Source organism: Homo sapiens, chromosome 8, assembly GCF_000001405.40.
Source record: "Homo sapiens chromosome 8, GRCh38.p14 Primary Assembly".
Lineage (NCBI taxonomy): Eukaryota > Metazoa > Chordata > Mammalia > Primates > Hominidae > Homo > Homo sapiens.
In genome coordinates this window covers 99,193,923-99,221,291 of record NC_000008.11, presented here as the reverse complement: position 1 = coordinate 99,221,291, position 27,369 = coordinate 99,193,923, and the positions used below count along the sequence as shown (strand labels likewise).

Genomic DNA, 27,369 nt, shown 5'->3' with positions numbered 1-27,369 from the left:
AAATGAGTATAAATCATGCTGCTATAAAGACACATGCACACGTATGTTTATTGCGGCACTATTCACAATAGCAAAGACTTGGAACCAACCCAAATGTCCAACAATGATAGACTGGATTAAGAAAATGTGGCACATATACACCATGGAATACTATGCAGCCATAAAAAATGATGAGTTCATATCCTTTGTAGGGACATGGATGAAATTGGAAACCATCATTCTCAGTAAACTATCGCAAGAACAAAAAACCAAACACCGCATATTCTCACTCATAGGTGGGAATTGAACAATGAGATCACATGGACACAGGAAGGGGAATATCACACTCTGGGGACTGTGGTGGGGTCGGGGGAGGGGGGAGGGATAGCATTGGGAGATATACCTAATGCTAGATGACACATTAGTGGGTGCAGCGCACCAGCATGGCACATGTATACATATGTAACTAACCTGCACAATGTGCACATGTACCCTAAAACTTAGAGTATAATAAAAAAAAAAAAAAAAAAAAGAATAAAACTAAGAAGAATTTCTCAGTTCTTCCTGGTGAATCTTCTGATGTAGAATCAATCCAAACTCATGTTAGCTCTCTCACCAATGTACTAAGTCATGTTCAAAGTACAGATTCATATTCCCTAGGAGTCCAATATAACCCAAAACTCCATAACTTTTCTTGCTTGTGCCAATCAAATCTTTGTTTCTAATTTTATTACCTTTAATCCAAAGTATACTTTAACGTTTTATGCTTCTTCTGTGTCTTAGAGAAAATCACTTCATATGTTTAACAACAACTCTGACAAATTTGGAAATGACATCTAGTTTAATGTGCATACAGTTTTCATTCCTTCTTCCATGACATCAACACAAACAAACAGAAATGGGTCTAGGTGAAATACAAATTAATATGTCTTAAATTAACATGCCAAACCATCAGTAATTATACTTGGCCTAAGAGAGTAATATGTATTTGCTAGGACTCATATTTTAATCAGTGACAGAAAGCCAATTTAAACTAGCCTAAACAAAAGCTGAGATTTATTGGTAAAACCCAGTGAAGATAAGGGAAAGACAAGGCCTCAGAAACTATTGGAAGCAGAGTCTCAAATGACTCCAAAACTCTGTCTCTTTGTCACTTCAGATGACTTTAAGCTCTCTGTAGACCTAATTTCTCATCATGGCAGGAAACAAACAATGACAACTACCAATTCTTACACTTTTTTGTCACTAAAAACAAGCCTCATTTTTCTCTGGTTCCAAGTTCAAAACTCTCAGAAAAAAATTCTGATTTGCCCAACACCAGTTTTATGGACTTTAAACTTATAGAGAGACATTACAACTGGCTCGATCTGAGTAAGGTAGCTGCCCCTGGTCAAATGAAAACAGCATATTCAAGAACATACCAGGCTTGGCACCCAGAAGCTTTTGAATTTACATGAAAAAGTGGCAGCCATCCTGCTATGGTTTGAATGTTTGTCCCCTCCAAAACTCATATTGAAATTTAATTGCCATTGTGACAGTATTGGAAGGTGGGATTTTTAAGAGATGTTTAGGTCATGAGGACTCTGCCCTCATGGATGAACTAAGGCCATTATAGCGAGAGTAGGCTTGTTATCACAGAAGCGGACTAGCCCCCCTCACCAGTGTGCGTGCACACACACTCACTCACTCTCTTTGCCTTTGTGCCATGTGAGGAGGCTGCAAGAAGGCTCTTGCCAGATGCTAGCATCTCAATATTTGACCTCTCAGCCTCCAGAACTATGATCCAATAAATCTCCATTCATTATAAATTATCCTGCCTGTAGTATTCTGTTATAGAAGCACAAAACATAGCAAGACACATCCCTTGGGGAGAAACTTTAACCCTCATTTTGCCACTTGAAGCCAAGCTGCAGGCCTAATGGGGCCTTTGATACATGAAATTCCCCAAAATGTCAGAGTCTGATTCACTGATCATTCAACTAAACTGAAACCCAATGGTATACATCGTGCTACTGCTGCTGTTTTATCTTAGCTCCAGCTATTCAGTGGGCATAACTCAGTAGGCAAAATTCAAGGCCATTCTCATAATTCTGGCAATTATTTCCCTTGAGGAATCTTGTTATAAATGACTGATCGTTATTGCCAATGGCCTACCTGTTTACGCTGCCACTTGGAAAACCAGAGTGGCAGATTTAAAGACTAAAGCTTAGAGGCCACAAACTATAGAAAAAAAATCATTGCTGATCAGATAATCTGGGTCACTCATGCTGATGACCACAGTAGGGGCCCATTCCAGGATGAGGTCAACTGGAATCAAGGTGTTGATCAAACCTGCACCACCCAGATTGTCACAATTGCTGCCTGGATCCATCACTGTATCACATAGCAACATATTCACCATCATAGACTGGGCAAAAAGCAAACGACTGTTTCTGATGCAGAGATTACCACTGTATGGCAGACTTGTGACCACCAAAACTCAACCAGTTTACATCACAAGAAAGGCCACATTGCATGAGGCATTACCACTCCATCCCTTTCCAGACTACTCTTGTCAAACTTATTTCATTCCCACCCACCTCCCATTCATTCTGATCAGCTGACTCCCTCTGCACCACTGTGGCCATAACAATTAAGCTATTACATATTTTCAGTTTTCAAGACCATGTGCCAGACGACAATGGCACTTTGACAATGCCCTTTTATCATAAAGAGCACACAACAGCTAAACAATCAACAATATTTGATGGATATTCCATGTTCGCTATCTAATCCAGAGGCATCAAATATTATCAAACACCAAAACTGCATCCTTATAAATCAACTGAAACACAAAACTCCACCTCCCTTACCCTCTCTTAGTCTACAGTGCTAAGACTGTAAATAAATGTCAACAAATGCATCTGTCATCACAAAGGAATCATCTCCTTTTGGCTACTACCAGGGTAGTGATCAGAAAAAACAGTGCAGATTATGCAGACCAAGGATCAGCAAACTTCTTCTATAAAGGGCCAGATAGTAAATATTTTAGACTTTGTGTGCTACATATGGACTCACATTTCTTCTTCTTCCTCCTCTTTTTTCAATCCTCTAATAATGTAAATAAACATTCTTAGCTTGTAAGCAATACAAGACCAGGCCACTGCAAGCTGCAGTTTGCCAACTCCTGGGATACACTTATTGTGAACGCTCAGGATTCCACTCTGACCATATTTGGATATAATCAAAATCCAACTTTCCCCTAAAAACAATCTCAAGACAGTCTAACTGGCATACCTTTAAGGGAGCAGCCCAGGAAAAACCTAGGAGATTCTAATTTAATTGTGGTCCAGCACTAGATTCTTTTATTGGATTGATATGTTCATGAGTCAGAAACTGGCAAATGTTTTATGCAAAGGGCCAAAATCTTTGTGAGCCATGAAATCTCTATTGCAAGTACTCAAGTCTGGCATTGTGCAAAAGTCACCATAGATAATAAGTAAACAAACTGGCACAACCAGATATGGCCCAAAGCAACCCTAGTCACTACCAAAACTAGTAGCTTTCTTTTTCCATACTTTTTTTGTTCTAGTGACAGCTCTATTTTTATCCTGGAAGGATTTGCCAAGAAAAGGAATCAACTCATGTGTCTTTTATAATGAGGCTTAGTGAGGTTCATATACGCACGGCTCTTTTGTATTTTGAGATTCAAAACTATATTACCAAAAATGAAATACACAAAAATACCCATATATAATATAGCTGGAAAGCATAAACTAGAAACTACACCTTCTCAGTGTTCTTCAAATAAAAAAATATCTACTGAATGCCTACTATGTGAAAAGTCACATGTAGTAAGTCATATAGCCAGAGCTCTGAAAGTAAATTATCTCTGAATCACATTTAATTCTCTAAATCACATTCTTAGGTACTATCATTATCAGGTAGCGGAATTAAGACTCAAACATGCTGTGTCCTTGACCGTGTTACTGCCTCTGCGCCCCAGTTTCCTCATCTGTTAAAAAGGAATGACAATGGTATCTAACAACAGGGCTATTCTAAGGATTAAATGTGTTAGTATATATGAAGCCCTTAGAACAGTGCCAGGCACACGATAATCACTTATGTGTTAGCAATTATTGTTACTATTATAAATGTTATTAGAGGGAATAAACATGAACATGATCTGTTACAGTTGTTTTGATCATTTACTTACATAATGAAAAAAGAGTAAACAGAAAATGAGTAAACAGAAAATAATGAAAAGAGTAAACAGAAAACACAACATTTTTTGCCCCAAACTAGTACCAGTACAATAGGAAAGAAAAGCTAATGTGCCATTTTTTAGATACTTTCTTCTTGATAATAGCCTAAAGTTTAAATTTGTAGGACCACACACTAAGGTAAAACATCAACGCCTCACTTTCCGAGCAAGTACTGTCTATTAGAAAATGTCACTTAAAATCTTGTACTAACCACATTAAAAAAGTAAAAACAGGTGAAATCAATATTAACATTTTTACTTATTCAATATATCCAAAAACAATTTAATGACTTTAAAATGTAATGAAATTAAGATACTTTACATTCTTTTTTTAAAAGTATTTGAACCCAGTAAGTATTTTACACTTATTTCTCAATTCAGATTAGCCACATGTAAGTATCCAATAGCTACATGTGACTGGTGGCTACGATACTAGATAGGGTAAATTTGAATTATTAAATATATAATTCTCAAAAATGTCATACAAATTTTAATCTCTTTCCCTCCTTTTCCTCTAGCACTCCCCTATTCTCCTCCACCCAAATTTTACATTCATTCATTCATTCATTCATTCATTCATGTGATATGCTAGGATGAGAATATGTTCCTCTAGAAAAGAAAAGACAGTAAACAATTATAATCCAATTGAAAGGTAATACTGGGAGTAGCTAACCTAAGAGACATGGGAGGAGAGGGTAGTGAGGTATCACAGATGAAGTTTAAATTGAGACATGAAAAATAAGTGGTTATAAGCCAAGTAAAAATGGAAAGGACCTAACAGGAAAAGTGAATAACACAGTAAAAGCCCTGCAGCAGAAGAAAGTTTGTTGTATTTAAAGTCCAGAAAAGAGATCGATGTGGCTTAAGCATAGTGAACAAAAGCAATTGTAGCACATGATGTGCCCCATTAGGCATTCAAATTTTTCCCAAGGGAGACTTGAAAAAAATCTTAGCATAATAGGATTAGTAGCTGCCTACCTACTACTCATACCCCTTTCTTAGTTACTAAAAGAACTTCAATTTAATTCAATGTAGGAATGTATCTAGCTAGAAGTACCTCTGTGACTAGAATAAAAAGCAAATAACATTAGAAAACATTATTTTAAGAACACTACAAAAAAGACAATATAGCAAGCCTAAGACTGTTATCCTTTGGAAAGCCTGCTTGGAAAGCTGGACCTTGACTGGTGAAGTCTGGGAAGTTGCCTTCCCCGCATCCTCTAAGATAAGAGTGGTTTGCTATGTGGAGCCTTCTGTACAAAAAGAAAAGCTTATACTGAACATCCGCTTTCCTTCTAGGAGTCCAGGATTTTGGTACTTGCAAGGCAGAGGTTGTTTATATGACCAGCCCCCAACGAAAACCTTGGGCACTGAATGGGCTTCAAACAATGCTCATATTAGTGTATTTTTTTGTTGGTGGAAAAAGGAGTATACTCAATACTCAAGCATACCTGTGCCTTCACAGGAGGCAGGGGGCAAAAGGAATCACATGCATGAGTTTCTCCAGACTCAACCTATGTCTTTTCCTCTTATGACCCAAGTATGTATCCTTACTACATTGCTATAATAAATCTTAGTAATGCGTACAACTACATCTTGAGTCCTGTAAGTCCTTCTAGATGCTCTCTAAAGTAAGGATGGTCTTAAGGACTTTAGACACAGATAAGAATGCATACAGAAATTCTATTTTAACAATTTTTCACACATAACTTAAATCACAGTATTTTCTTAACAATTAATTCCTATAATCTAATTGTAAGTGATTTACTTTGCTCACTAACAGAGACTAATCTCCTAGTTTGTACACCCTATACAACACATGGTGTCAGGCAGGCAAAATAAGAGGTGATCTTTAAGAATTAGTAGAATTTGTAAACTATTTACATTTTGAACATTCACCAAAAAAGCAGACATACAACACTTATCATCTTTAGACATTCTGCAAAGTAAACATTAGTTACTGAGGATACAGCAGGGAAAAAAATCAGACATGCAACCTGCCTTTGAGGAACCTATTTTCTACTTAAAGAAGGCTCCTCTGAGGAACTGACATTTAAGGTGGGCTCCAAAGGATAAGTTGATATAAATAGATTAAATAGAGAGACATGGGCATTGCAGAAATATGGAGTATATTGAAAAAAACTCCAAAATAGAAAGAAGCATAGTTCTTTTGAGAAGCTCAGAGGTTACTGGGGAATAGGTCCATATTTAAGTTTTTATCCTACAATTAATATGAAGTCAGTGAAGGGCTGGTAGTACTTGTCACATCTGAGTTTTTCAAAGCTCACTCTGGTACAAAATAGACAATAGATTGGATGGAAAAAGAAATTATGGAATTGCCTTAGTGTGACAGAAGTAAAGATGGAGAGAAATGAATATGTTGTTAAAGTATTGAGAAAATAAATTGGACAACACCTGGTATTTGGTACTATGGGTACATGATTAAACATAGGTAAAAAGTATCAATTAATATAATCAGTTAAACCTATACACATTGTGGATGAGACACGTTAACAAAATGCTGGTAAAAAAAATGAAGAAAAATTAGCAATAAAGTTTAAATTCCAGGACTTCTTCTGTCAATATTTGACTAAGTAAATTTTAAAATTACATGAAAAATCTGATAAGTATGTTAATTTTTATTAAGTTCTCTACAGATAAAAAGTACAATGTTTGAAATAGGCACCATATGAAAAGTACAAGGCTATAAGCTATACTTTATGCAGTGGATAAATTTTTTCTGGTAAAGGGCAAGATAAATGTTTTCAAATTTGTGGACAATATGTTTGTGGCAACTACTCAACCCTACCATTGTAGGATAAATGTAGTCACAGACAATAATTAAAGGAGTGAGCATGATTGTGTTCCAATAAAATTTTATTTATAAAAGCAAAGAGTGAGCCAGATTATTTGCCAAATCCTGATCTCAAGAATTGGATAGAAGGCAAAAGTTGAGACAAGTGGTCAGGTCTAATACCTGTCCAATAAGAAACAATACAGTAGGTGTCCCAGCAGGCAAATATAATATAATGAATAATAACTTTTTAAAAAATTAAATGGGTAGTAAGCAAGTAGATGTCTCCAAATTGGTCTGGTAATACTTATGGGGGAGTACCACATCCAGAGAGTTGGAATTAAGGAAAAGCCTGCAGAACTTATGGGAGTCTAGAAAGGGAAATTCATGACGGTAGCCTCTGACGGGCTAGGATACCAAACAGGGAATGTGGCCCAGCCAAAAAAAAAAAAAAAGGCATCCAGCAACTGAAATGGCAGTTCAAGATGAAAGCTTAGTCAGCTCAAGTAGGAGCTTTCAATACATAAAGCTAAGCCCACAGTCAAGGCAACACACTGCAAAGTTGAGGACATGCTCCTGAATCACATGAACATTGAATAAATGTGCAAAAGTTATACCAACAGAGGTTCATAGACAGGATTAGTCCTGAACCCTGGGGCATAGCTGAAAATACAGGGGCTCTAGCTACAGAGAAGAGAAAAGTATGTATGGACTATCAAAGCAGGCTCTTAGAGAAATATTTACTTTAAAAGAATTACTACTTCTTATATAAAAGGATCTAAAAAGCAGGTCAAGTCAGATAGGGAAAAAATTATTAGCCATTTTACTGAAAAATTATGTTTTCCAAGTTACAAATAATATTAACCCAATTTTTGTCAGAGGACTATCTATAATTTTTGACATGGAAATCTGGAAAAAATGTTATATTTGATTATTAAAACTAATTATTATATTTATTTTCAATGAATATTTGCAATAAAATTTTTATTAGAATTAGGTAGTAATAACAAATGGAAACTTCTTAAGATGTGTATTAACAATATGAACTATTACAGCACATTAGATTTTGTCAGAAAATCTCAGTACAAAAGTAACTACAATAAAGAGTGATGTGTACAAAAAACACACGCCATATTACCCAGCTAGAATTAAAGAGCTTTGAAAACAGGGTCCAAGTCTAGCACTTAGTAGGTAAGAAATATCTGTCAAACTAAGCTGATATATTAATCACAATGATTTCACAAAGGAGAAAATAATCAAATCTGCTTAAATGAGGGAGAGAAGTATTTGCAGAGGATACTTACTAAGACTAATCCTAAAGAAAGAATAAGATTTTGGGGGTATATGAAAACAGGCATATGAAAGCGTGACTTAGCCTAGAAACTTTATGGGGTTGATATGGTTAAGAACATCAAAAATATAAGAGATGTGAAGGCAAAGGGGAGAGTAGTAGTTCTGAAAATGGAGCTACATACATTGGTAGAAAAGAATCATATCATAAGGACCTTTTGATTTCATGCTCAGAAGTTTGGGTTTTATCCTGACAAACTATATCACTTAAGATTCTTCATGATGGAAATAAAAGTAGGAGCAGCACTAAGGAAGAAGAAGAGAAAAAGACCACCTTAGATCAGCTTAAATCATATGGTAATGCAGAGTTCAGAGATAGATCTGAGATTCACAATGTTATCAGTTCTCTGACTCTATTTCTCTGAGATTTCTCAGCTCTGCCTTCCTCCACCTGTCTTCCTCAGACTTCCCTTCTTTGTGGCTATAATGTAATGTAATGATAACACAATGATTGCAACAGTTGCAGATCTCATAGGCTCACAGCACACTTTCCAAGGAAAAGAGCCTATTTGTCTGATGGTTTCAGAAGGAAGATGATTTCTAATTTGCCCAGCAACACCCTGTGACATCTCATTGGTTTCAATTAGGTTTTTCAACCCCATTGGCCTCAATTAGGTTTCTCAACCAATCAGTATAGAAGGAGAGAGGTGAAGGGAATGTTTCGATTGGCTAAAGCCAGTCACAGCCCGTGCCTGAAATTTAGTCAGTCACTTCCATCAAAATTGCACGACTGGGCCAGGTGCGGTGGCTCATGCCTGTAACCTCAGAACTGTGGGACGCCAAGGCGGGCGGATCAATTGAGGTCAGGAGTTCAAGAGCAGCCTGGCCAACATGGTGAAACCCCGTCTCTACTAAAAATACAAAAATTAGCCGGGCGTGGTGGCAGACGCCTGTAATCCCAGCTACTCAGGAGGCTGAGGCAGGAGAATCGCATGAACCCGGGAGGCAGATGTTGCAGTGAGCCGAGATCACACCACTGTACTCCAGTTTGGGTGACAGAGTAAGACTCTGTCTCAAAAAAAAATTAAAATTAAAAAAATAAAATTGCACAATTGCTTTGATTGGCAAAAGAGTTCTCCAAAAGAAACTCGTGGTACTACTGAAAGAACAAAAGTACTGAACCAACAACATCTATTACAGAAAGCATAAGTAATTTTTTTCTCTCTCTGTCGCCAGGCTGGAGTGCAGTGGCGCGATCTTGGCTCACTGCAACCACCGCCTCCCAGATTCAAGTGATTCTCCTGCCTCAGCCTCCTGATTAGCTGGGACTACAGGCACACACCACCACGTCCAGCTAATTTTTGTATTTTTAGTAGAAACGGGGTTTCCAGTAGTAACAGGCTCTAACAGAACAAAAGTTTTAACTGCCAGCTGAACCACAGCTATACCTAACAACTCTCCTTTCCAAAATCTAGCTTGTCTAAATCTACCAAGAAGGATCCTTGGAAATCCTGACCTGCCAGGGGCCTGGAGCTTCCTAATATAAAAGATGATTGTCTTTCAGGGCAGAGAGCAAACCAAGTCCTCTCCCCTTCCTCCACTTTTGTTGCTGTACTTACTATTACCGGGTGGAAGCCTGGTAGAAGATATGCAAGAAGTCGGCAAGAATTCAGCCAGAGGTGTGTGTGAGTTAAAAGAAGTAAAAGGTAGACAGCTTCAGGCTTGTCCTCAAGTGTAAGTAGAGTGACTGCCAGAAGCCTCCCTTACCTTGTCCTCTCATGGCAAAAGAAAACAAAGATGCCTTTTGCCTACTTCATTCAGCCTCTCATTCCTATAAGAAAATTTCACATTTAGGGACGGCTTCATCTTACAATCATGGTAGTAACAAGGATGAGAGTAAGGGAAAAAAATCCAATGGGCTTGTGGGAAGTGAGGATGTCTGGCTGGCAGGCTCCCAGAACTAAGCACCACCTCCTGCGTCTCAGTCATTTGTCACCTGAGATAGTTCTCACATATATCCTTAATTTCCTAGCCCAAGAACGCCATACCAATAGGAAAGACAGTTAAACATTAAATATTTTTAAGACCTGGCCAGGCACAGTGACTCACACCTTAATACCAGAACTTTGGGAGGCTGAGGCAGGTGGATTGCTTGAGCTCAGGAGTTGGAGACCAGCTTGGGCAACATGGCAAAACTCCATCTCTACAAAAAATTAGCTGGCCATGCTGGTGGGCACTTGTGGTCCCAGCTACTTGGGAGGCTAAGGTAGGAGTATCTTTTGAGCCCAGGAGGCTGAAGTTGCAGTGAGCCAAGATTGCACCACTGCACTCCAGCCTGAGAGATGGAAATAAAACTCTGTCTCAAAAATATATATATATATATTTTTCAAGACCTTATAATGTAAGTTTATTGTTCAACTTCCAGACATTCAGCTTTCAAATATAGTTTCGAGAATGTTCTATGTCTAACACAATGGCACCAAATGTGAGACTATAAATGTATTCACATACAAACACTACAAAAATGACCCGATATCCGATCCAGTGGAATCCAATGGCCATAATAGAAAGATACTGAGGATACTGCAGAGTGCCACAGAAGTACACCCCAAAGGAACATAGCTCAATGGGAGATGTGTTTGAGAATATAGGGGTCAATAAAAGAACTGTATGCCACAAGGATTAGAAATGAGGTGCTGAGAATATCCAGGGTAAAATTAGCTGCTCTGCCTTGGAAATTTCCTTTATAGTGTAGGAAATGCTGATTCCCAGAGCATAATACAGGTAGAAGTAAATAAATAAAATGGGATTCTGGTCCAGCACTCAGCAGCTATCTTCTCCTTATTCACTTAAACCTAGAACCAGCCCTACATAATTTATTACTTGAAATTGTGCTCATCTTCAGAATATATTTAGCACATTCTTAATTATTTAAACTATCATCAAAGAAAAATGAGTAATTATGTATATGGTTATACATTTTTAATTGCTTATTATAAGAACTAATATATAGTGACACATATGGGTATTATTTTTAGACCCACAGAACCTACATCTCTTGTCCTTAAAAAAAAAATTTTGAGTACGAACCAAATATTAACATTTAGTATACATTATAAACTTTAAGTTCTGTAACTGAAGTATTTGAAAACTTTTTAGAATAAACTATTTCAAATGTAATTTCTCTTTGAGACTTCCTTGTATAAAGAATATTTAATATGTGAGCCATTTTGACTATACAATTATGTATTACATGAAATTATAACATAATTTATAAAGGGCCAGGCACAGTGGCTTGGGCCTCCAATCCCGGCACTTCAGGAGGTTGAGGTGGGAGGATCATTTGAGGCCAGGAGTTCAAGATCAACCTGGGCAACATAGCAAGACCCAATCTCTACAAAGTAAAAAAAAAAAAAAAATTGTTATTAAAATAATTCATAATAGTAGTGAAAAAATAAGTCCATCTACTGTAAAGAAGCTATATACTTACCTACTAAAACAGAATAAAAATAATATTTACAGATCTTGGTCTTACCTATATTAAAATCAGTAGGAAATTTTTCAAGGATTCACATTAATAAATCCAACAAAGTCCAATATAAATTATACTCTAACATTCTATTTGCCATAATAAGTAAAAATTTGGAATTGTGTAGTATATTACAGCATTATTTCGGTTTTGTTTTTTGTTTTGTTTTTTTTTTGAGATGGAGCCTCAGTCTGTCACCAGGCTGGATGGAGTGCAGTGGCACTATCTTGGCTCACTGCAACCTCTGCCTCCCGTGTTAAAGTGGTTCTCCTGCCTCAGCCTCCCAAGTAGCTGGGACTACAGGCACATGTCACCACACTCAGCTAATTTTTGTATTTTTAGTAGAGATGGGGTTTTAGCATGTTGGCCAGGATGGTCTCGATCTCTCAACCTTGTGATCTGCCCACCTCGGCCTCCCAAAGTGCTGGGATTACAGGCATGAGCCACCCTGCCCAGTCGCATTATTTCTTAAAAAATAAACACAAGTAGTTCTCTGAAAACTAGAACCCAACTTCTCATTCTGTTATTTTTTACTACTCAGTAGCCTTGTAAAAATATCTTCAACAGCTTTTAAACCTGTAAAATATTGTTCAGATTTTCTACTTCAAAGAATGTACAAGAGATTAATGAAAATATGGACTACAAAGAACTTACAAAATTACTTCACTATTGTCACTTGGCTTTCCTGTGAAAGTAAAGGACTGTTTTAAAATTAAGAATTAGGAAGTCAATCTATGATAATAAGACTTTTATCATGATTTCATTTGTTGCAATGATTTGACCTATATGTTCCATGAATCATTAATTAAAATAAGTATTCACTTTATGCAAAATATTTATATTTCAAATAAATCTCTGTGGTAAAGAGCAAACAAAAATCTAGTAAAATCAACATAGTATTTAATCTTACATATAATATGAAGATGTTTATCATATGAGATATACACTTCATTTAAAAAGGTGACTATAAAAAGATAGAATCAGAAACTTGGGATTAATGGAATTTTGCAACCAAAATTTCATTTTAAATTATGAAATATTACAATTTTCCTCCAAGTAGAATCAATAAAAAAAGGAAATAAAAAGAAAGAAAAGAAGTCTTAATGATATGTGATATGGGTTGGATATTTGTCATCCCCTCAAATCACATGCTGAAATGTAATCCCCAGTGATGGAGATGGGGCCTGGTAGGAGGTGTTTGGGTCATGAGGATGGATCCCTCATGGCTTGGTGCTGCGTGATAGTGAGTTCTCAGAAGATGTTGTTTTAAAGTGCATGACACCTCCTCCCAACTCTCTCTTTTGCTCCAACTCTGGCGATGTGACACGCCAGCTACTGCTTTGCCTTCCAACATGATTTTAAGCAGCCCAAGGCTTCAACAAATAAATTTGCTGTTTTAAGTCACCTAGTTTGTGGTACTTTGTAAACAGCCCTCACAAATAAGAGTCCCTTTCTTCACTGTATGTAATTAACTCTTGTCCATTTTTAAAGCCATACTTGATCTTGTAATAGGTGACACAGAAGATTCTACATTCATTACTAAAATCATGTCTATTTCTTGTTAGCTATCTGCTCCCAGAACTGAACAGATTGCAAACTACATATTTTCAAAATGACTGATAAGTGAATACAACCAGAAGAAATACATTTTAGGTTGTGAACAAATAGAAGACATAAACATGAGCAAAGAATACATAGGCAAATAAACAGCAAAAAAATACATAAGGCAAAAAAAGTATCTTTTCTGCAGAAATCTAACTCATTTATCTATTAATATTTTATTATCAACAGTAATTTATTGACACATTTTTATGATGTTCATAAAAGACTTTCTGTAAGACTGAAAAATCACACTAAATTCATATTGCCTACTTTTCAAATATCCAATAAAATATACTTAAATAATAATTCAAAGAATTGCATTTTTCTCAAATCTACTCTGTACACTTACACTTTATATATTTTCTTTCACTAAAGGACACCTAAAATTCCCATTCCTGTGCCATGAAGTATCATCAGAAAAAAATTTACAAACATTATCAAAATGTCTGAGACAGAATAGAGGAACAAAATTAAGTCAGGCATAACTTAACATTCTAAGTGTGTCTTTAACCCCTTTATTCCTAGTGTTGCATTATTAGAATGCTAAGCTTGTGGGAGTTATTTATATCCTACTGTGCAAAGTCATTGCCAAGATCTGATTTTTCACACACACACACAAAATTGCAACCTCCAGCATAAATGGGTTAAACCTATATTAATTACTCACTTCTTAATAATGACCACATATTCTATAAATGAGCTCTCAATACCTGGACATAAGCTGTAGTAAAATGGAAACTTTAAATTCAATAAATATTCATATTATTAAAAGTGCATATAGGGACACCTTAAAACTCACAAGATTCACAAAAATTAATGTCTTTTTACTCCAATTTAAATATCAAGAGGTCTAATTGGTAGTTCTCAATACAAATCTAACTCAATTCATTTTTTTTTACGCAAGAATAAATGTATAGCCAATGCCTGTATCTGGCAAGAAAATTTTATAACATCTCAAAAATATATATCTTAGAACACATTAGAAGTATTTAGCAGACATGATGGTGTTGGGGGAAGTAGTTTGAAAACAGAGGAATAGAAAAATCATATCAATATACCTCAATCTTTTTCCTAAGTGATTAAAGAACTATTCAACAACTCCAAAATCCTTTTTATATGCACACCTGGGAAGAATACCTCCATAACTTTATTCAGTTACAGTGATGTGGTTTTAGACCAGATGTTTAAATGTTACAGTATGTACATTTTCTTCCCCTCTTCTAAGGCAGAAGTAAAGTAAGAGGAATATTTGACTTCACTCCACAAGAGACCTATTTAATAGTTTGGCAGTTATGTAAGTAAAGGTTGCTTGGCTAAGTCAATGTTGACGACATACAGAACGACATGATCCTAATGAGTTGGAAAATATTGGCTCTCATGAGAATAGACCAGATGCTACTGCGCTGAGAAAGCTACTGTATTATTGAATTTCATTTTTATGAGGTAAAATTTATTATTCAACCATTAAGGTATCCCACATGAAATGTTGCATAAAATACTTTAACAGTTACTTTCTGGAAAGTAGATTTTTATTTTAACATTAAGACATAACTTAAATGAGGGATTCGAATGTCCATTTGATCACCTTTAGCACAGATTTTAAAGTCTGTAAGTTATTTCCCTGCAAATACCAGATTAATGAAACTACACTGTCAACAAAATAATGAACTTCTGAACAAGGAAAAGTGGTAGCAAGTCCTTGTTTTCCAGAGCAAAACCAAAGCCATGTGTGACTTTATATTTAATCTTCTCGCAAAAAGACAGGGTTAGAATTTCTATGATTTAAGAGCCATCAGAAACACGAATAACAAAAATATATATTCAATAACCTGATTAATAATACATATTTAGCTCAAATTTTAATCTCTGCTTTATCCTTTATAATTTATTATTTTAATTAAATTTCCAATATTTGCTATAATTTCATTAATATTTTCTAATGAAGTAACACACTTTACTCTATTTCTGATCTCATTTACCAGAGATAGTTTGGTATTGCAGACATAATGGTAGCAGAAAATTCCAAAGGCCTGGCTTCAAAAAATGACTTAGTCAGTGAATAGCTGCGGGATGATATTTAAGAAAAACACTAAATTGTTCTAAGCATAAATGTTCCCATCTGTAAAAAAGGATATATAACCTGCCAACAACAATATTCCTGGTAAGAAGCCAATGAAATTAATAAATGAGACATATCAATCTAAAATAGGTGAGCCAACTCAGTCTATCCAAGTAACTTTAATGGTATCCAGTCCTTACATTATACAGCTCACTAGATGAAAAATGCTAAGCAGACAGCTGTAAAGTATGTGAAAAGTAAATGAAAGTATAAGTTTCGTGTTTTTATTATTATTATACTTTAAGTTCTGGGATACATGTGTAGAACATGCAGGTTTGTTACAAAGGTATACACGTACCATGGTGGTTCGAGCCACCCATCAACCCGTCATCTACATTAGATATTTCTTCTAATGCTATCCCTCCCCTATCCCCCTACCCCACAACAGGCCCCAGTGTGTGATGTTCCCCTCCCTGTGTCCATGTGTTTCCATTGTTCAGCTCCAACTTATGAGTGAGAACACGTGGTGTTTGGTTTTCTGTTCATGTGTTAGTTTGCTGAGAATGATGGTTTCTAGCTCCATCTATCTCCCTGCAAAAACCATGAACTCATCAATTTTTATGGCTGCATAGTATTCCATGGTGTATATGTGCCACATTTTCTTTATCCAGTCTATCACTGATGGACATTTGGGTTGGTTCCAAGTCTTTGCTATTCCGAATAGTGCTGCAATAAACATAAAAATGCATGTGTCTTTATGTAGAATGATTTATAATCCTTTGGGTATATACCCAGTAATGGGATGGCTGGGTCAAATGGTATTTCTGGTTCTAGATCCTTGAGGAATTGCCACACTATCTTCCACAATGGTTGAACTAATTTAGACTCCCACCAACAGTGTAAAAGCATTTCTATTTCTCCACATCCTCTCCAGCATCTGTTGTTTCCTGACTTTTTAATGATCACCATTCTAACTGGTATAAGATGGTATCTCACTGTGGTTTTTATTTGCATTTGTCTAATGACTAGTGATGATGAGCTTTTTTTCATATGTTTCTTGGCCACATAAATGTCTTCTTTTGAGAAATGTTTGTTCATATCTTTTGCACACTTTTTCATAGGGTTTTTTTTTCTTGTAAATGTGTTTAAGTTCCTTGTAGATTCTGAATATTAGACCTTTGTCAAATAAACAGATTACAAAAATTTTCTCCCATTCTGTAGATTGCCTGTTCACGCTGATGAGAGTTTCTTTGGCTGTGCAGAAGCTCTTTCGTTTGATGAGATTCCATTTGTCAATTTTGGCTTTTGTTGCCATTCCTTTTGGTGTTTAAGTCACAAAGTCTTTGCCTGTGCCTATGTCCTGAATGGTATTGCCTAGGTTTTCTTCTAGGGTTTTTGTGGTTTTAGGTCTTACATTTAAGTCTTTAATCCATCTTGAGTTAATTTTTGTATAAGATGTAAGGAATGGATCCAGTTTCAGTTTTCTGCATAAGGCTAGCCAGTTTTCCCAAAACCATTTATTAAGCAGAGAATCCTTTCCCCATTGCTAGTTTTTGTCGGGTTTGTCAAAGATCAGATGGTTGTAGATGTGTGGTGTTATTTCTGAGGCCTCTGTTCTGTTCCATTGTTCTATATATCTGTTTTGGTACCAATACCATGCTGTTTTGGTTACAGTAACCTTGTAGCATATTTGAAAGTCAGGTACCATGATGCCTCCAGTTTTGGTCCTTTTGTTTAGGATTGTCTTGGCTATACAGGCCCTTTTTTGGTTCTATATGAAATTTAAAGTAGTTTTTGCCAATTCTGTTGAGAAAGTCAATGGTAGCTTGATGGGGATATACTGAATCTATAAATTATTTTGGGCAGTATGGCCATTTTCACGATATTGATTCTTCCTATCCATGAGCATGGAATGTTTTTCCATTTGTATGTGCCCTCTCTTATTTCCCTGAGCAGTGGTTCATAGTTCTCCTTGAAGAGGTCCTTCACATCCCTTGTAAGTTGGATTCCTAGGTATTTTATTCTCTTTGTAAAAATTGTGAATGGGAGTTTGCTCATGATTTGGCTGTTTGTCTATTATTGGTGTATAGGAATGCTTGTGATTTTTCCACATTGATTTTGTATCCTGAGACTTTGCTGAAGTTGCTTATCAGCTTAAGGAGATTTTGGGCTGAGACGATGGGGTTTTCTAAATATACAATCATGTCATCTGCAAAGAGAGACAATCTGACTTCCTCTCTTCCTGTTTGAATACCCTTTATTTCTTATTCTTGCCTGATTATCCTGGCCAGAACTTCCAATACTATGTTGAATAGGAGTGCTAAGAGAGGGCATACTTGTCTTGTGCCAGTTTTCAAAGGGAATGCTTCCAGCTTTTGCCTGTTCAGTATGATACTGGCTGTGAGTTTGCCATAAATAACTCTTATTATTTTGAGATACGTTCCATCAATACCTAGTTTATTGAGAGTTTTTAGATGAAGGGGAGTTGAATTTTATTGAAGGCCTTTTCTGCATCTATTGAGATAATCACGTGGTTTTTGTCAATGGTTCTGTTTATGTGATGGATTATGTTTATTGACTTGCATTATGTTGAGCCAGCCTTACATCCCAGGGATGAAGCCGACTTGATCGTCGTGGATAAGCTTTTTGATGTGCTGCTGGATTCAGTTTGCCAGTATTTTATTGAGGATTTTCACATGGATGTTCATCAGGGATATCAGCCTGAAATTTTCCTTTTTTTTTTTTTTTTGAGACAGTCTCGCTCCGTCGCCCAGGCTGGAGTGCAGTGGCGTGATCTCGGCTCCAAGCTGCAAGCTCCACTGCAAGCTCCACCTCCTGGGTTCGCGCCATTCTCCTGCCTCAGCGTCCAGAGTAACTGGGACTACAGGTGCCCACCACCACGCCCAGTTAATTTTTTGTATTTTTTTTTTAGTAGAGACAGGGTTTCACCGTGTTAGCCAGGATGGTCTCGATCTCCTGACCTCGTGATCCACCTGCCTCAGCCTCCCAAAGTGCTGGGATTACAGGCATGAGCCACCACGCCCATTTTTTTTTGTTGTGTCTCTGCCAGGTTTTGGTATCAGGATGATGCTGGCCTCATAAAATGAGATAGGGAGGAGTCCCTCTTTTTCTGTTGTTTGGAATAGTTTCAGAAGGAATGGTACCAGCTCCTCTTTGTACCTCTGGTAGAATTCAGCTGTGAATCCATCTGGTCCTGGGCTTTTTTTGATTGGTAGGCTGTTAATTACTGCCTTAATTTCAGAAATTGTTATTGGGTCTATTCATGGATTTGACTTCTTTCTGGCTTAGTTTTGTGAGGCTGTGTCCAGGAATTTACCCATTTCTTCTAGATATCCCATTGCATTGTCACATCCATTCACAGGTCTATTGACTCCCTCCCCTTGGGAATCTGTAGAACTGAAAATATTTATTCATCATACATTTCTGTGAGCCTAGTGAGGCCTCTTGTAAATAGCTACATTAACAGGGCACAAATGTACACTTTCTTCACTAAGTTCAAACAACCAGACCTAACCAATGTCTTGAATTTTATTCTTTTCTCATCAATATCTATTCATTATCCTATTTTCTTTCTTGGCTTACTCTTTGAATTTACCTTCACTCTATCATCCTTGCAACCAAAATAACGGATCACCTAGACTACAATTCTGACTGTTGTTATCTCAGTCTCCAAGAACTTTATATCCTAGAACAACTTCCATAGGTAATATCTTTAGATGGATGATTCCAGCAAGGTCTATGTCTAGGACAAGAACAACAGATTAAGCCCACAAACAATAATATATTTGGCATTTGCAAGAACTCTATGAGCAGCTATAAACATATTTTCATTATTTTATAGATGAGAAAATTAACTAAAACTTAATGAAACAAACTGACCTTTATTTAGTCATATATAGTTATTGAGAAAATCTTCACACTCCAATTCAGTGATCTTTCCTAAGTGTCAATAGTTGAAAAGTGAAAATAATGCGCAACAGAAATAGTAAGACATTCACTAAACCAGTATTTATATGTAACATAAAGATTACTATAATTCAATGCACAAAATCAAATCCCTAGCAAGCACTAGCATATAACATTTTCTTTTTTATTTTAATATACTTTTAATTTGATTTTTGCAAGAGCTGAGGAAGGATTCATTATTGTAGCATCATAAAACATAATTCAACATCCACAGATATTCTCTTAAAGCCTCTTAAACTCATTCACAAAATAGAAATTAGTGACTGATTCAACACTCAAAATTTATCTCTTACTTTTGGATATAGCATTTATCAAAGAAAAACTTTTCTTACTAAAAGCACTTTGCAGTTTTGATGCTTGAAGTTAAATTTGTTATTGCTTTTGGTGGCACATTAGTCCAACATTTAGAATGAGAAGACTGAGGCACAAAGTTTCTATTCTAGTCTTTTCAAATTCTTAGTAGTAATCAATGAAGTTGATTTCAAAACTCGCTAATAAATCACAATTTATAATGAAAGAAATGGTAAAACTGGAACTCAATTATATACATGCATTTTATAAGAATATCAGAAATCAGTAACAGTTTAATTCAGGTCAGATACAGTTATTTTGGTGGTAGTAAAAGTGAAACATATACACATTTCTTATTTGCAAACAGGAATGACAGAACAGGCATGGAGAAAACAAAGATAAACAGAGAAAGGAAAGAAAAATAGTCTAAAATTATAGTGTCATAGAAAATGTTGGCCAATGGGAATGAAGCTAAAGAATAAGACCAAGAAGGATTCTGTGATATTAAAAAAAATGAAAAAAATAAAAGGACTAAAAGTAATGATGATGACCAAGAATCAATATCAGTATCAAAGGGATAAACCATTTCTAAATGATAACAAGGTCCAATGTAAAGAAGATGTACTTGAGGGTAATGAAAAAAATTAGACAAAAGGTCACCATCAGAAAAGTAAAAAGACAACCCACAAAATTACAGGAAACATTTGCAAATCATATCTGATAAGAAACTTTTATCTAAAATATATAAAGAAATCTCACAATTTAAAAGAAAAAGAGGCAGATCTTAAAATAAGCAAAGGATTTGAATAATTTCTCCATAGAAGAGATAGAAATAGCTAATAAATACACAAAAAGATACTCAATATCATTAGCCATGAGGGAAATGAAAATGAAAATCATAATGATGCCACTTCACACCTACAATGATGGCTGGAACACAAAAGACAGATAACAATATGAGGAGGATGTGGAGAGATTAGAACCATCACACATTGCCAATGGAAAGTACAATGGTACAGCTGGTTTGGAAAACAGTCTGGCAGCTCCTCAAAAGGTTACAAATAAAATTACCATATGACCCAGCAATTATATTTATAGGTATATATACACAAAAGAAATAAAAGCATACATTCACAAAAAAAAACCTGTACTTGAATATTCAAAGCAACATTATTCACAATATTCAGAAGTAGAAACAATGCAAAGGTCCATCAACTGATGAATGAATTAACAAAATATGGTATATGGATAAAATGGAATACTATTTGGCAATAAAAAGGAATGAGCACCGACATATGCTATAATATGGGCAAACTTTGAAATAGTATGCTAAGTGGAAAAATGCACTAATATGCAGTCACAAAGAACTGCATTTTATGTAATTCATTTATATGAAGCATCCACAATAGGCACATCCATACAGACAAAAAGTAGATTAGTATTTGCCTATTGCTGGGAAAATGGGAGGCTCCAGGAGTGATAGCTAGGGAATGCAAGGATTCATTCAGGGATGCTGGAAACGTTCTAAAATTGATTATGGTAATGGATATACAACTCTGTGAATATATTAAAAGCCACTAAACTGCATACCTGAAAAGGAATAAATAGTGTGGTACAAAAATTTTATATAAATAAAACTGTTTTTAAAAACTTAACAGAAGGAAGGGAAAGGAAAAGAAAGAATAAAATATTTCTGACATGGAAGAGGGGAGAATACCTGAAAAAAAGGTAGGAATGTGTAAGAGAACGTAATTTTTCTGAAGTACAAGTAGACTGTAATTAGCATAGTGTTAAATTAAAGGAAAAAGACTAATGTTAAAATAAAGCTAGTGCTCAAAGAAGAGAGGAAACTGTAGGAGAATGTAATCAAACAGAATTAGGTTCCAGATAGAAGAAAAAGCCATACACAGGAAAAAACTGGATATTGTTGGTAGGTAACTATCAATAATATGAATTAAGACAGCAAGTAGGAGGGTAGGCTAGAGGCATGAGATTATGATGAAAGGTGGTGTACAGTCAAACGTAGACTTTAAAAATTATGGTTCTGGGCCGGGTGTGGTGGCTCATGCCTGTAATCCCAGCACTTTGGGAGGCCGAGGCAGACGGATCACGAGGTCAGGAGATCGAGACCATCCTGGCTAACACGGTGAAACCCCATCTCCACTAAAAATACAAAATCTTAGCCGGGTGTGGTGGCAGGCACCTGTAGTCCCAGCTACTCGGGAGGAAAATGGCATGAACCCAGGAGGCGGAGCTTGCAGTGAGCCGAGATCATGCCACTGCACTCTAGCCTGGGTGACAGAGCGAGACTCCATCTCAAAAAAATATATATAATGATAATAATAATGGTTCTTCTTTCACACATTATCAGAACCTAAGTCTGAGAGATCCAAAAATGTACACAGCTTGTATAATCTCTTTATTAATGTGGGAAATGAAAACTAGTTGTAAAGCAAAGGATCACATACTTACACAAAACATATTAAACAAAGCTTAACAGTGCTGAGTACTATGTAATGAGAGTCCTCAGACGCAAAATAATAAAATGCTAAAACTTTACACCCTAAATACATACACATTTCGTGGATCTTTAGATAGAACTATTTGAAGGCACAATCCTTTAAGCACTCCATAAGAATACAAAGCACAGAATGAGGTTTTGTTCTCGGGGGGAAAAAAGACAAGAAAACTGACCACCTGGAAATCTGGCTTTTTAAAACTGTCTTAGCTGATGGTTTCTCTTTAATCTGTTATAAATTTTATAGGCATTCCATTTGATAAAAATAAAATTATTTGGCAAAGAAATGTCTTAACATCATTCTAATTTCTTCAACTCCTCAATATGCAAAAATTAGTTCCACTAATTTTAGGTTTCTAAATGACAGAACTTGAGGTTACAAATAACAATCTGTTGTCACTTACCTAATCAATTTTTCAATACATATGCCACCATTCTTTTAAACACAGAATATTTTTAGAATAGGAAATTTCAAATAAAATGCTTTTTCATAGCACAGTCCATTTTATAAATTCAGAAAAGTAAAAATGGAATAGGTTTGGCTAGGAAAAAGAAAAATTATAAAAGCAAATAATAATTTCATGAGCTTACTAACACAAATGTTCAGGCTATCTAAGCCAATTAATAAAAATAAAAGTTTAAAATTTAAAAAAAACATTAATATTGTGAGACAATAAACCAAAAAATACTCTGAAGAAAATATCACAGGAAATAGAAATTTAGCAAATAAACAAATAAATGAATTAGACAGTTTCACACAGTGATAAGTGCTAATGCCAAGGAAGATGTTACTGTAGAGTTAACTTATAGATGGGCTGGCATCAAAAAGGTAAGATTTTGAATAGTAAATCCATATAAAATAACGGCCACAAGATTGGCAATAACACAGTCTACTTAAATAATCATCAAATTAAAACGTTTTTTGAAGATAAAATTCATATAACATAACCCTCATTTTTTCAAAGTGTGTAATTAAGTGGATTTTACCATATATATTAGGTTGGTGCAAATGTAATCGTGTTTTTTGCCATTCAAATTAATGGTGATTACCTAACGCAAGGTTGTGAATCCATCACAACTATATAATTACAGAATATTTTCACCACCCCAAAAAGAAATCTTGGGGAAAACCACAAATATGTGAAAATTAAACAACATGTTCCTAAATTACCAACAGGTAAAAGATGAAATCAAAATGTATCTTGAGACAAATGAAAATGGAAACACAAAATACACAACCTATCAAATGCAGCTGAAGTATAAGATTTGGTTTTTTGACAAGATAAACCCTTCAATAGACTAAGAAAAAGGAGCATGCTCAAATAAATAAAATTAAAAATAAAAGTGGAGAGATTACAGCTGATAGAAACAACAGAAATATAGAGACTCATCAGAATCGACTACTGTGAACAATGCTACACCAATGGATTGGATAAGCTAAAAGAAATTAATAAATTCCCAGACACATTTAACCTATCAAGACTCAATCATGAAAGAATGGAAAATACGAGTAGACCAATAATGAGTAAGAAGAGTGAATCAGTAACAAAAAGTCCCCATCAAAGAAAAGTTCTGGACTGGATGAATTCTACCAGAACAACTAATATTGATCACTTCTCAAACTCTTCCAAAAATCTGAAGAGAGAATACTTTCAAACTCATTTTAGAAGGCTAGCATTATCCTCATACCAAAGCCAGACAAGGGCACTACAAGAAAACAAACTTACAGACCAATATCTCTGGTGAACATAGATGTAAAAATTCTCAACAAAATATTAAATGAAATTCAACAACACATTAAAATAATCTTTTGCCATGATACAGTGGTATTTATCCTTGGGATGCAAGGATGGTTCAACAAATACAAGTCAATAAATATGATACACCACATTAACAAAATAAAGGACAAAAGTCATATCATCATCTCAATAGATGCAGAAAAGGCATTTGACAAAATTCAACAGCCTCTCGTGATCAAAACTACTAATAGATTAGGTATAGAAGGAATGTACCTAAACACAATAAAGGACATGCAGAACAAGCCCATGGCTAACATCATATGGAAGAGTGAAATGCTGAAATCTTTAAAGATGAGGGACCTGACAAGAATGTTCATTCTCACTACTTCTTTTCCACACAGTACTGGAAGTCCTATTCAGAAAAACTAAGCAAGAGGAAGAAAGAAAAGGCATTGTAATAGAAAAAAAAGAAGTTAAATTGCCTCTACTTGTTGACAATATGATCTTATACGTAAAAATCCCAGCCAGGCATAGTGGCTCACACGTGTAATCCCAGTATTTTAGGAGGACGAGGTGGGTGAATTACTTGAGGTAAGGAGTTCAAGACCAGCCTGACCAACATGGTGAAACCCCGTCTCTACTAAAATACAAAAAACTTACCCAGGTGTGGTGACGTGCCTATAATCTCAGTTACAAACCCAGGAGGTGGAGGTTGCAGTGAGCCAAGATCACACCACTGCACTCCAGCTTGGGTGACAAATGGAGACTCCAACTCAAAAAAAAAAAAAAAAAACCCCTAAAGACTCCATCCAAAAACTTTTAGAACTGATAAGTGAATTCAGTAAAGGTGTGGGATACAAAATCAACATGTAAAAATCAGTACCATTTTTATGCATTAACATGTCCAAAACTAAAACTATCCAAAAAAAATTTAGGAAAACAATCCCATTTATAACAGCAAAAACAAAAATATGTGGATATAAAGTTAACCAAGGATATGAAAGGTCTGTATACTAAAAAGTATAAAACACTGATAAAAGAAACTAAAAAAAAACACAAATAAATGGAAAGATGTTCTGTGCTAATGAACTTGGAGAATTAATGTTAAAATGTCCATATTACCCAAAGCAATATACAAATTCAATGCGACCCCTATCAAAATTCCAATGTCATTTTTCACAAAAACAGTAAAAAAATCCTTAAATTCATATGGAATAAAAGACCTCAAAGAACAAAAGCAATATTAAACAAAAAAGAATAAAGCTGAAGAAATCACACTATCTGACTTTATACTAACAGGCTATAGCAATCAAAACAGCATGGTACTGGCATGAAGACAGACACATCAACCTACAAAACAAGACAGAATCCAAAATAAACCCACACATTTATGGACAATTGATCTTTGATGAAGATGCCAAGAATATACAATGGGGAAAGAACAGATTCTTCAATAAATGCTGCTGGGAACACTGGATATCTACATGCAGAACAATGAGATTGAATCTTTATCTAACACCATGAGGAAAAACCAATTCAGAAGGGATTAAAGACTTAAATATAAGATCTGAAACGTAAATCTACTAGAAGAAACTTATGGACAAAGCTTCATTGGTCTGGGCATTGACTATAACCCTAAAAGCACAGGAAATGAAAGCAATAACAGAAAAATGGGACTGCATCAAACAAAAACTTCTGCACGGCAAAAGAAACAATTAACAGAATGAAGGAAGAACACAGAAACTGGGAGAAAAATTTACAAACCATCCCTCTGATAAAGAGTTGTTATCCAAAATATCTAAGGAACTCAACTCAATAATAAGAAAACAAATAACTCAATTTTAAAATGGGCACAGGACCTGAACAGACATTTCTCAAAAGATGACAAATGGCCAACGGGTTCCTGAACAATGCAAACGGCCAACATATAAATGGTTCATACAAATGGCCAACAAGTATATGAAAACATACTCAACATCATTAATTACTAGAGAAATGTAAATTAAATTCACAATGAGATATAACCACATACCTGTTAGAATGGCCATTCTCAAAATGATGAAAGATAAGTGTTAGCAAGGATGTGGAGAAAAAGAGAATACCATTGGTGGGAATGAAAATTAATACAACCTTCACGCCTATAATCCCAGCACTTTGGGAGGTTGAGGCAGGCAGATCATGAGGTCAAGAGATAGAGACCATCCTAGTCAACATGGTGAAACTCCGTCTCTACTAAAAATACAAAAAATTAGCTGGGTGTGGTGGTGCACACCTGTAGTCCCAGCTACTCGGGAGGCTGAGGCAGGAGAATTGCTTGTACCTGGGAGGCGGAGGTTGCAGTGAGCCGAGATCGCGCCACTGCACTCCAGCCTGGCAACAGAGCAAGGCTCCATCTCACAAAAAAAAGAAAAAAGAAAATTAATACAACCATTATGGAAAACGGTATTGAAGCTCCTCAAAAATCTAAAAATATAAGCAATCCCACTTCTGGGTATATGTCCAAAGAAAATGAAATCATGTTAGAGAGATATCTGCACAGCCATGTTCACTGTACAATAGCCAAGATATGAAATCAGTATAAGTATCCATCAAGGGATGAATGGATAAAGAAAATATGGCATATATCCGCAATAGATTACTATTCTGCCTTAAATAAAGAAGGAAATTCTGTCGTTTAAGACAACACAGTTGAACCTGGAGGACATTATACTAAGTGAAATAAGCCAGGTACTGCAGGATCTCACTTAAATGTGGTATCTAAAAAAGTCAAACTCATAGAAGTAGAGAGTAGAATGGTAGTTAGAGTAGAACGGTGGTTACCAAACGTAGGCGGAATGGAGTGGGGGTGGGTATGTAACAGGAAGATCCTGTTCAGAGGGTACAAAGTTTCAGTTAGACAGGAGCAGTAAGTTCAATTCAAAAAGAGGATACAAATATGTATGTCTGTGTGTGTTTATATACACACTAAAATTTGCATACTACTTCAGGGGGTTCAGAAAACTCTAAGTCTTTTCATAAGCTCCGAGTGAAGAACCTCTAGCCTACTGCAACATTTATCTTGTTATTCTTTATATAATGCTAAAAGCCAGCACCAAAACTACTACAACTTGAACATCCCTAATCTGAAAACCCAAAATCTGAAATGCTTCAAAATTCAAAACTCTTTGGGCACTGACATGATACAAGTAGAAAATTCCACGCCTGACCTCATGTGATTAAGTCACACAAAATTATTAAAAATATCGTATAAAATTACCTTCAGACTATGTGTATAAGGTGTATATGAAATGTAAATGAATTTCATATTTAGACTTGAGTCACATCTCCAGTATATCTCA

The 27,369-nt window shown here is 35.7% G+C and overlaps 1 protein-coding gene across 3 annotated transcripts in view; it reads right to left on the bottom strand.

Moving 5' to 3' along the window:
• Positions 1-27,369, bottom strand: part of VPS13B (vacuolar protein sorting 13 homolog B) — an 864,307-nt gene that overhangs the window by 656,289 nt on the left and 180,649 nt on the right. The window contains exon 18 of one of the 3 annotated variants that reach the window (NM_015243.3): positions 11,505-11,700. The exons of the other annotated variants lie outside the window; for them this stretch is intronic. Within the exon in view, the coding sequence (NP_056058.2) occupies positions 11,624-11,700 (77 nt within the window). The 3' untranslated portion in view covers positions 11,505-11,623. Of the gene's footprint in view, positions 1-11,504; positions 11,701-27,369 lie in introns of those variants that run through there. 3 annotated transcript variants of the gene reach the window in all.